Source organism: Homo sapiens, chromosome 11 (genome assembly GCF_000001405.40).
Source record: "Homo sapiens chromosome 11, GRCh38.p14 Primary Assembly".
NCBI classification, from domain to species: domain Eukaryota; kingdom Metazoa; phylum Chordata; class Mammalia; order Primates; family Hominidae; genus Homo; species Homo sapiens.
Genome location: NC_000011.10, coordinates 101,298,349 through 101,311,110, shown reverse-complemented (window position 1 = coordinate 101,311,110; position 12,762 = coordinate 101,298,349).

Below are 12,762 nucleotides of genomic sequence, written 5' to 3'. Positions count from 1 at the left end.
GGTGAGGGACAAAAGACTACACACTGGGTACAGTGTACACTGCTCGGGTGATGGGTGCACTAAAACCTCAGAAATCACCACTAAAGAACTTATTCATGTAACCAAACACCACCTGCTCCCTAAAAATCTATTGACATTAAAAATAAATTTTTAAAAAGAGTAAACCAATTAAGAAAATGAAAAAACAAACCACAGACTCACATTTACAATAACGGTGACAAAGGGGACTGGTGCCCAGAATATATAAAAACTCCTACTCCTACAACCTATACTAAAAATACAAACAATATCCCAAAAATAATCCAAAAACTCTCTTCAGAGAAGAAGATACACAAATGGACACACACACACACACACACACACACAGCGAGAGATACATACACAGACATACACAAAAAAAGTGCTCAAAATAATTCGTCACTAGGAAACTGCAGATTAAAACGACGAGAAACCACAATACAGCGACCTGAATGTTTAAAATTAAAATGAATAAAAGCATCAAATATTGACAAGAATGTAGAGAAACTGGAGTTTTCTTATACAGTTAGTGGAAATGTAAAAGGATCTTGTAGATTTTTATAAAACTAAACCTACCTTATGACCTATTCCACAGTATTTATCTCAGAGAAATGAAATCATATGTCAAAAAATTATATAAGAATGTCCATGGCAATTTTATTAATAATAGCTAAAATTTGTAAGTATGTCAAGAGTCCATCAATAGAAGGATGAACAAACACACTACTATATATTTATACAAAGGAATAGTACTCTGAACTGAAAAAAGCAACAAAATATGGGTACGTGCAACAGCATAGATGAATCTCAAAATCATCCAGAGTCAGTGAAGCCTTACACAAAAGAGTATATAAAATATTATTCCACTTATACAAAGTTCTAAACAAGCAAACTAATCTATAATGGTTGCTTCATGAGGTTGAGGCAGTAATTAACTGAGAAGGGGCTTGAGGGAACTTCCTGGAGTGATAATTTTCTATATCTGAAAAGGTGTTTGTGTTTGTCAAAACTCAGCTAATGTTCACTTAAGATTTGTGACATTTAATTGTATATAAATTTTACCTCAAAAGAAAAATCCTGTAAATAAACATATACGAAGTTATAGGTTAAGTCCCCAACAGCAATTTACTTTGAAATGCATCCAATAAAAAGAAAGACTAATCAAAACCACAATGAGATACCATCTCACACCAGTTAGAATGGCAATCATTAAAAAGTCAGGAAACAACAGGTGCTGCAGAGGATGTGGAGAAATAGGAACACTTTTACACTGTTGGTGGGACTGTAAACTAGTTCAACCATTGTGGAACTCAGTGTGGTGATTCCTCAGGGATCTAGAGCTAGAAATACCATTTGACCCAGCCATCCCATTACTGGGTATATACCCAAAAGACTATAAACCATGCTGCTATAAAGACACATGCACACGTATGTTTATTGTGGCACTATTCACAATAGCAAAGACTTGGAACCAACCGAAATGTCCAACAACGATAGACTGGATTAAGAAAATGTGGCACATATACACCATGGAATACTATGCAGCCATAAAAAAGGATGAGTTCATGTCCTTTGTAGGGACATGGATGAAATTGGAAATCAACATTCTCAGTAAACTATCGCAAGGACAAAAAACCAAACACCGCATGTTCTCACTCATAGGTGGGAATTGAACAATGAGAACACATGGACACAGGAAGGGGAACATCACACTCTGGGGACTGTTGTGGGGTGGGGGGAGGGGGGAGGGATAGCATTAGGAGATATACCTAAAGCTAAATGACTAGTTAATGGGTGCAGCACACCAGCATGGCACATGTATACATATGTAACTAACCTGCACATTGTGCACATGTACCCTAAAACTTAAAGTATAATAATAATAAAATAAAAATAAATAAAATAAAATAAAAAAGAAAGACTAATGGATGGTGAGAGGGATGAGAGATGAATATATATGCTATAGGACAAACATAGTAAAATATTGTTGGTAGAATTTGTGTGGTGGGTACATGGGACTATAATTTTTTTAAGAAAATTGTATACTAGCAAATTTCCATAGTAAAATGTCAAGAAAGTACTTATATATCTGCATAACTAAAACGTGTGGATTTGAAGACTCCGTGCCACTTATGCCTTGCACATTTGATTCTGTATACGACGTTGTGTGCCTCTCTCCTGTCTCTTCCCTTCTCTCCCAACCTTCTTTCCTCTCTCCTCCTCTTCTCTTCCTCTCCCTCCCTCTCACTTTCCTTCCTCACTGTTCTTTCTCCTCGTTGCCACAACACTACATCTCTACATGTCTCTCTAACTCCCCACCTACCCGCATCCTTAAAAGTGAAAAAAGGAAGCTCGGGTGAAAATATGGATATCCAAATACATTTTTGAACCATCTTCATTATGATGAAAACTATGAGAAGTCAGTGGCCATTCTTAATAAACGTATGATCTGATTGTGAACCATGAATATATATATTGATATATGGAATTAATTTCAAATTAAAGTAACAAAGCCATCAGCCAGTTTACAGACCATATATGGTGCTCCACTGGTACAGAGAGGAAAGACTGTGGAAGATTTTTTTTCTCCTTTGTTAACTGATGGCTAGAAAAGTGCTCAACATATTGTATGTACTCAAAAAATATTTACTGAACAGCATATATGTACATTCACATATATATATATGTATATATATACGCACAGACACAAAGAAGATGGAAGATGCCTAAATAATTTTCTTCATGATTTTGCTCCAAATCAGTTCTAGCATTAAGAACTAAACACTGTTGGGCTGGGAAAAATAAAAATTATTCTACTCACAGCCCTGAGCATGAGGCCAAGTCTACAATTGTGGAGGCCCCTGCTCAGCTCAATTGCTCTATGCCTTCTCCTACTTTGAAAAGTTTACTCACAAGACCGTGTTATGACTTTGCTGGACTCTAGGCACCTTTGCCTTTATTACACCTTCCTTCATTAAAAAAATATTTAAAGTTACATTTTATGACTTTCTTGGCATACAGACAGCTATATCCCAGCCTGGGTTTATTATTTTTTATTTCCCTTTTTTAGATTTTCAAAGATATTAAAATTGTTTTCATTGTCAACAGCTGCTGTAAGTATCATGGTTTCTAGGCACTGTTCTTTCTGTGCCTAGTGAATGAAGTGGTTCTGACTGCAGGGCTTCCTTTTTGAATTTGTATTGCTTTTTAATATTTTCCTTCCTCTTACCAACTTTCTAACCATCTCAAAACATCGTCAGTGATGACAATGTGTACTTTGGGCTCTACTCCCGGACTTGAAATCTTTTAAAAAATAACTTTTCAATAGAAAAATTCATTTCTTTGGCAGACAACCTTTTAATTTCTCTCTTTGACAGTAGAGAAGTCAGTCTGTTATACATTTATCCTCTTCCCAAGTAGAGCTCAGCTTGACCAGAGAGCATCTATTGAATTGAGAGAGTGAGGTTGAATATGCACTGAGCTTCTAAATGGAGTAGTTCTAATGTCTCCTAATGCTTATGATGTCACCTAATATAAATGAAAAGCCTGTTCTTTCTCCAGCAGTCTTGAAGTGGATTTTAAAATAAATAGGAGTAGGAATCTTTTCATTTAAAAAACGCATTAAAAAGGCATATTAGAGAGTCTACTAATTTTAGAAAACATTGACCTGTATTACCTTTTTCTAGTTCTAAGACCAAAGAATGCTGAAGATGATAATTTTTCCGGAAGTGGAGACTAAAACCATTTACTTAATATATGTATTTTGAGAATGTATATATGCTCTATGGTGTCGTTGACACTAGGGATACACAGAAGTGGGTAAAACACTATTTCTGCTCTGGAGGAATTTGAAGTCTATAAGAGGACATAAACTTAGCAATAAATAATGTCAATAAAATGTGTTAAATTCTATGATAGGAAAATACACAAAAAACAAGTACCATATAAATAAAGAAGGCTTCAGGGATTATTCCCAACTTTATCTTCTCACCTCCTATGAGGATTATCATACAGACACATCCACACCCATGCAACTTGAGGCACATCTCTGTAGGCAGAGTATATTTCCCATCCCATTATCACGCTTGGCCATGTAACCTGCCTGGGCCTATGGATTATAAGGAGAAGTGACACCGTGCCAATCTTAAACAGAAGCTTTAACATGAACTGTTTGTTTTGGCTTGGTCTCAAGCAGTTCTTCCCTTTGCCATGAAAATTGCATGTCCTAGACAGAGACATTCCCTTCATCCTGGATCCTAGAATAAGAATATATATGTACCCAAACACAAGATAACCAGGATAAGCTGCATTAAAACCGCTCCACACACCCAAGAGCAAGAAAAAAATGCTATTGTTTAAGCTATTGAGCTTTTTTTGTTTGTTTTACTATAGCAAAGTCTGACCAATATAAATTAGTTTGGCCATCTTAGCAGATCCCAGGTTTTCTGCCTGACAAAGCTACACGTTTGTAACTTAGAAACAGAAAGTATAGCACTCGACTGGCATTAATACAATTACTGGGAAAAGAGAACATAAAACATAATAAAACATGATCGTTTACCATGGTTTCTTGAAAAGATCCAAATTATATTCTAAAAAGATATGGGTAATACCTGATTTGATAAACTTCTTGTGAAACTTGTACATGCATACTTTTCTGATGGTATTATAATTGGGTCCCAAGCCCTTAGAAAAGTAATTATAAGAACTGGGAAGGCCAGGCACGGTGGCTTATGCCTATAATCCCAGCATTCTGGGGGGTCAAGGCAGGCAGATCACCTGAGGTTAGGAGTTCGAGACCAGCCTGGCCAACATGGTGAAACCCCATCTCTAATAGAAATACAAAAATTAGCCTGGCATGGTGGCACACACCTGTAATCCCCGCTACTCAGGAAGCCGAGGCAGTAGAATCACCTGAACCCAGGAGATGGAGGTTACAGTGAGCCAAGATCATGCCACTGGACTCCAGCCTGAGTGACAGAGTGAGACTCTGTCTCAAAAAAAAAAAAAAAAAAAAGAACTGGAAAAGTGTTCCTGTTTTGGTAAAGTAATACTATTCCTGGAAATATGTTCTAGGGAAATAATTTTTAAAATGAGAAAAAGTATCTTATTCAGAAGCTTTTATTTTTCACAATTATCCATAATGATAAAAATTATAAAATTATATATAGAGTCATATCGGCTTATTAGCTAACTTATAAAAAACAGTTTTATGGAATGTTTTGAAATATTAAACTTGTGCTTATGAACACCAGGTAGCAATGGGGCAAAGGTTTATGAAATAGTGTTAATTGAAAACAGTAGACTAAGTTGAAATGCACACTGTAATTATAATGATACAAAATGTGTAAGCATATGGGCTAAAATGAACATTGGAAGAAGTCCATGATATCTCATCTCCCTAATCCAAACTATTTTCAATATTTTCTCTCATGTGTTTTGAGATAGAACTGGAAGTGACAAAAACAACATGTTATAGCAAAGAGGCAACACTCTCATGCCAGCAATCCTTATATAATCGTGTTTAGTCTCTCATTGCTGAAAATTCTCTGAACTTTTGGTTTTAAATCTGTGTCTAGTCTAAAAAGATGTCTGCTTATTCTAATAAGAAGTCTAGTCTAGAGTTTACCCACTTGCTCATTATAAGTAAATTGCCTTTTGTTTGGCATTCATCCCCAAACGTAGTTATCTGAAGTCCAAGGTGGATGCCCATCAGAGGGATCTTTTGAAAAATATGGATTCTTGACTTCCATCCAAAGCTACTCCATCAGAATTTTGGAGGGTGGATTTCAGGACTCTGCTATATTTAAAAATCTTTCCCAGATAATTCTTATGTTGCCATGCTTGGAAACCACTTACCTTCTGCTTGAATTTTTTCATATACCTGAATAGTAGAAGTACAAGAATAGATGTTTTAGAAAATATCATCATGAAAAAAAATGTAGGAAGAGAGCCAGCAAGAAAATTAAAAAATTTCATTTTCTATTCAACTTCTATTATCTAACATTGACAACCCAGCCTTCCTGTTTTTCACTTACTTTACACTACAAAAGAATGTTTTTGAGAGAATAAAGTAATGAGGTAAGATAACTGGACTGAACTTACAAAAAGCACCTCTTTTAAAGTACGTGCCACTTAGATCCCTAGAATACAAAGAAAGGGTCCTGGAATCACAAAAACAAAAATTGGTTCATATCAACATCATGATAAATTCTCTAGTTGTGTGCCCAGCTCTGATTCATTTAAGTTCCCATCAATAATTTGGATAAGAACAGGTATAAGAACAGGTGATGGCATATCAGATTTACAGATGAGAGGTTGAAATAGTGATTCATTCGATGTCAAAATCTGCCAAGATTATTTATAGGCTAAAACAAAGAATAAATAAAGGGAAGTAAAACCTAAAAAAGATAATTGTATCTTACACTTGAGTCCAAAAATTTCCTGATATAAAATATGGGTGACATGATTAGACAGTGATAAATACATAAAAAATTTAAAGGGTAGATGGATTACAAGCTCAATATAAAAATGAATTGGAGGTGGGGAATAGAAGGAGCCTGATTATTAATTGATTCCAAGATGTGGCTGCTGAAAATTTTTTTTTAAATATATAAACTAATTTAATTTTAGGCTGCATTTATACCTATGCTACCTAGAATAAAGGGAGTGATCATTATGCTTCATAATTTACTAGAGTCTAGCAGATAGTAAATAATGAGCACTGAATTTTTGAGCAACTGAACTATATATTTTAAAATATAGGGAATCAAACTAGAAATTATGATATGTTAGAAATAATTGAAACAAATAAGAATATTTAATATGGAAATTTAAGGAAGGGGAATTTTTCTATTAGTAAATAAATATTTATTTTCCTTAGGCATAAAAAGTTTATTTTATTTCGTATTCTCTTTCCCAGCAGTAGTTTACTTTTTAAAAATTATTTTATTTTTGGTTGAAAAGTAATAATTGTATACATTAATTGGGTACAATGCATTGTATATTTCAAAATTGCTGAAAGAGTACATTTTAAATGTTCTTACCACAAAGGAATAAGTAAGTGAAGTAATAAATATTTTAATTAGCCTTATTTAATCATTATACAATATATATATGTATCATAATACACATTATACTCTACCAGCACGTGAATTTTTTTTTTGGAGACAGTCTCACTTTATCACCCAGGCTGGAGTGCAGCAGCGCAATCTCGGCTCACTGCAACCTCTGCCTCCTAGGTTCAAGCAATTCTCGTGACTCAGCCTCCAGAGTAGCTGGGATTACAGGCATATGCCACCACGTCTGGCTAATATTTGTATTTTTAGTAGAGACGGGGTTTCACCATGTTGGCCAGGCTCATCTTGAACTCCTGACCTCAAGTGATCTGCCCACCTCGGCCTCCCAAAGTGTTGGGATTACAGGCATGAGCCACCGCACCTGGCCCAGAATATTTTAATTATTACAGGTGGAAGAATAGATAGATATGAACCAGGGGTAGAAATTACAAATCCTATCAAATTTATAAAAGGAAAAGGCTAAGAAGCTGTTCAAGATAGAAAGAAAATAAAGGGAAATGCAATATTTCGTTCTGAGTTGAATCCTGGACCAGAAAGAAAAAAGACGTGGTTAATACAGTTAGCAAAATTTCAGTGGGATCTGTAGATTAGACGGTATTATTGCATCAAAGGTTAATTCTTCTTTAGACAGCTGTATCATGGTTATATTAGAGACTGTCCTTGTTCTTGGGAAATATCCATTAGAGGATTGTAGGAAATGGTACAATGTGTCTAAAAATTGATCTTAAATAGTTTTGAAGAAGATTAATAATTAAATAGAGAGTGAGAGACAAAGATAGATCAAATGTAGTCAAATGTTAAGAATACAGGATATTGTGGCGAGAAACATGCAGATGTTGCAAGTTTTATATAGTTTTGACATCATCTTAACATAAATTATATAAAAAGTTAAACTGAAGAAAGAATCGGGAAAATTTATATATGAGAAATTAAGTTGAATTTGGTCCAGTTTCATAATTCCCCCTTGCCTCTGGCTAAAAGAAATTAAACCTTCTCTAGATAAAGGAATCCCCAACCAGCTCTTCAGATTCCCAAAGATTCAGGTCAACTAATTATCTCATAAGAAAAAAATTCACCAAATACATGAATATCCATAATTCACCAAGAAAGAACCAGCATAAATAACAAATAATAAATTTAGAACAAGGCTTTACATATTAAAATTTCCAAATGAATAATATGTAATAAATATATTTAATGCATATAAAGAAATAAAAACTATAATCCAAAGAAATTAACAACAAATAGTGTATTATCAAAAATAGCCATGCCTATTTGACAATGTACCAAGAGATCTTTTAGAAATAAAAATATAATTATTGGGGCCGGGCGTGGTGGCTCACGCCTGTAATCCCAGCACTTTGGGAGGCCAAGGCGGGTGGATCATGAGGTCAGGAGATCGAGACCATCCTGGCTAACACGGTGAAACCCCGTCTCTATTAAAAATACAAAAAATTAGCCAGACGTGGTGGCGGGCACTTGTAGTCCCAGCTACTCAGGAGGCTGAGTCAGGAGAATGGCGTGAACCCGGGAGGCAGAGCTTGCAGTGAGCCAAGATTGTGCCACTGCACTCCAGCCTGGACGACAGAGCGAGACTCCATCTCAAAAAAAAAAAAAAATTATTGGAATGTGTATTAGTCTGTTTTCACGCTGCTGATAAAGACATATCCGAGACTGGGAAGAAAAAGAGGTTTAATTGGACTTAAGAGTTCCACGTGGCTGGGGAGGTCTCAGAATCATGGCAGGAGGCAAAAGGCACTTACTTCTTACATGGTGGCAGCAAGAGAAAATGAGGAAGATGCAAAAGCAGAAACCCCTGATAAAACCATCAGATCTCGTGAGACTTATTCATTACCACAAGAACAGTATGGGGAGAACCGCCCCCATGATTCAATTTATCTCCCACCAAGTCCCTCCCACAACATGTGGAAATTATGGAAGTACAATTCAAGATGAGATTTCGGTGGGGACACAGCCAAACCATTATCAGAATGTATTACTCAGTTGTTGGTAGAATAACTAAGAGAAAAAATAGGTAACTAGAAAATAGATTTTAAAAAAGGTGTTTGTCAGAATGCAGCCCAGAAATATAAAAATATAAAGGAATATAAAAGAGTGGTTAAGCAGTCTAAAATTTAGAATAAGATCTAACACTCCAATTGTAATTCCAGAAGAGATAAAAACAAAACATTGGGAGAGACAATATTGAAAGAGATAATAACTGAGTATAACTCCACCAGCACAAAATCAAGAAAGGGTACATATAAATAAAACCATAACCTAGACATACCAAAATCAAATTTCAGGGCAATGAAGACAAGAGAAGATGAGAAAAGCACATAGAGAAAAAAAATAAATCCTCTCAAAGAAAAGATAATTAGGCTGCTATTCTCAATAGCAGCAATGATATTTGGCAATGATAGGAGCCAAAATTAAGAGAATAAAGTGCCAAGAGTAAATAAATATTTAACCAGTCTTTGTGTTTCAAGATTTTCTTAATTTTGTTTTTTATTTTTTGAGATTACAAAGCCAATCCCAAACAATAATCCCGTGAATGCAAGAATTGTGGGCTTCCTCTATCCTCCTTCATTTCTGTTTGTAAATTTGTAAATTTTTCTCTAGGTGTGTATGTTTCTCTTCATAACTGAGCAAAGACAGACATAACAACCAACACAAATCACAAAATTTTTTTTTCTCACCCTCTCTTCTATTGCAACAAGTTTGTTAGGTACAAAGATCTTCCCCAAAAAACCATGGGCATTAATTTCACTGAATGTTTTGCCATTACATGAATGGATTGCCATGTTTCCAGCCTTTGATAGCAATTTCCTCACTAGCCACACTCTGACCATTAAGTCAATGCCAACTGCTTTGTGTATTTTAGGTTGTTGGTAGGCATCCTACTTTGAGTCACAATTTCTGTATAGGTCAAGATGGCATAGGTAAGCACCAACTCAAATGTCCCAAATCTCAGGGATTTAAAATAAAGGTTTGCTAGGGGCTCTGTTTCACAAACCTCAAGGACGCAGGCTAAGAAAGAATCCACCATTGGAATGTCACTTCCTGTAGTAGAAACCAAGACGCACTGTCCAAAACCCTCTTGGAAGAAGTACTTTCTGCCTGGCTGCAGGCAGTAGAGTCATTAGACACCTTCCTACATGTCAGAAGTGAGGCCCTTGCCTCAGTTTGTATGTAAGTGCAAAATTTAAAGGGCAACCAAAAAAAAATCAGTAATCAAGATAAGTCACACTTGAATTAAATGTTTTTAAAAATCAAAATTAATGCAAAAATTTATTATAAAGAAAATATCAAATTTTAAAAAAAGATTGGCTATCAGCTTCTCCGAGGTCATTGTCAGCTCTAGAAAGCTCCTTTGCCCTAGGTCACATTCTTCCTGGGGCAGCCAGCATCTGGTGACTCAGTGAGGTTGGGGTTTATAGGCCTGACTGTTGAATCCCAAAGTATAATGTTGAGTGAAAAAAGCAAGTTGCAGTTAAATATAAACAGTATAATTTAAATTCTTTAAAGTTTATAATATTCAAACATGTATCCTAAAATTCTAACTAAACGTATGCATAGAACATAAAATTTGTCAGTATTAGAAAAAGAACATGATTTGGAGTGGGGCACACATAGGCTTAAAATATATTAATGATTTTTTAGTTCTAATTTGGGGTGTGTGTTTATTTTAGGGCTCCTTATGTCTTAAAAACATATAGAGACAGATCTTAAACTAAGATAAATAAAAGGTTAGCATTATGAATGACTTTATAACCAAACATCTAAAGCAATATGCATGATATAATCCTATATACATATAGTTTACAGATGTAATAATAGAAAAATGCACACACACACAAATATACACACACAAAAACATACACACAAAAAGTCCTTTTCCTTGGGCATTTTAAGGCTTCTATCCTCCAATTTTTAAATAAATGTCATAAAAAAATTTTTATTATAATTGTTTTTCATAATTGTGAATATAATGCCATATATCTGTAATTCTATAACTAAAGGTATACTTCCATTGGTTAGACATAACTAAGGAATATTTAACTAGAAATCTTACATCCATATGGAAACAGAAGAACAACACATTCCCTTTGTTTTCTCAGGCTTGAAGTTAAATGTCAAAATCTTAACATTGTTAATAGTTTATGTGCTTCAAATAGATAAGTAAGGAAAGCCAAAACACTCCTTTCTCTCCAACTAGTCAATGTGCTCTTGACATAATAAGGTTTTGGTCTCTACAGTCTACAAGGTAATTGATGAGACACTTCTCAGGTCATAATGGCTTTTTGATTCACTCACATTTAGACATCTTGACCTGAATTGCAGTAACTAAAGTGAGTCCTGACAATCTGTGAACAGCCTTAAATCAAACATGAGAATGAGAAGAAAACATTTCTTTGAGATTTCTATTACATCACGTTCTAACGCTCCTTTTATTGTACTCAAACTGTGTTCAGGGTTACACAGGCAGGACGACTTCTCAGACCTACTTGATATAAAGGCTTCTGTGAAAACCTCTGGGAAGGAGAGGGAGGTGGGAGCGGGCCAGGTATCATATTCGTAGCCAAAGCAGGTATTATGAGTCCTATTCATATGGCATTGAAGCAACAGGTCAGGCTATTCAAAGCTGAAATAAGTCTGTTCGCAGGTTAATGTCATGATGACCTAGTCAGTACTTGGAGCAAGTAAATACAACAATACTGTAGAAAAGGCCAACACAGAGAAAGCTCTGCAACAGTCACATTTTTCTTAAGGATCTTCTAACTTCTCCTTCTGTCATCTTTTCCACTTTGTGTGGTCTCTGTCAAAACTAAGATTCTTAGTTACACTGTGCTCTCCCTCCTCTCCTCCTAATATTCAAAACTTTTGTTCAGACAGTTGTCCCTTTGGAAAGAAAAGGAGAAGTAAATTCACACTGATGTATGTGACTGCAGTAATGCATTGCTATTCCTAATAAGAGTCTACCATTAATTCCATCACATTACATAATAACTCATCTTGTTGTTATTTTCTGTTTCCCTCTAGTAGACTGTAAGCTTCCTGACAGCAGACCTTGTTTTTCTCTGCTGAATATCCAGCCAACCTAAAAGAAAACATGATGTAACTCACTCATTTTTTTAAGCCACATTTCTAATTACCCTCCAATGTACCAGTCACAAAACATAGATAGCCATGTCCTGCTAGAAGCCAGGGGACTGTTCTTGGTACACATGGCTCCCAGGGTAGAGTATGGAAAATACAGCAACCAGAGTGAACCTCAGTCTCAGGTCATAGGATGGCATGACAGTCACTGAGTAGGCTCTCAGAGGTGTCTTCTCTTAGGTAAGGGGCTGCTGAGTGATCACTGGCAGGAGGCAAGTGGTAGAAGTGGGGAAAGACTATGTCCACACAGCACCTACAGAATGTTCTCTGAAGATCACCAGGGCCAGATGAATAGACACTAAAATTAACTCCTGGTGCTTATGGAGGTAAAGCCATTGATGAACTGTAGAAAAGCCAGACCAAGGAGGTAGTTGTCAGCCAGAAAAATAAATATTATTTGTCCTTATCTGCCCACCTACTGACCTGTGATTTCTTCCCTTTTGACTTTTCATGTCCCTTCTCTCTGGGTTTTCATTAGCCAAAGAGAATCATTCCTTCTTGTTTG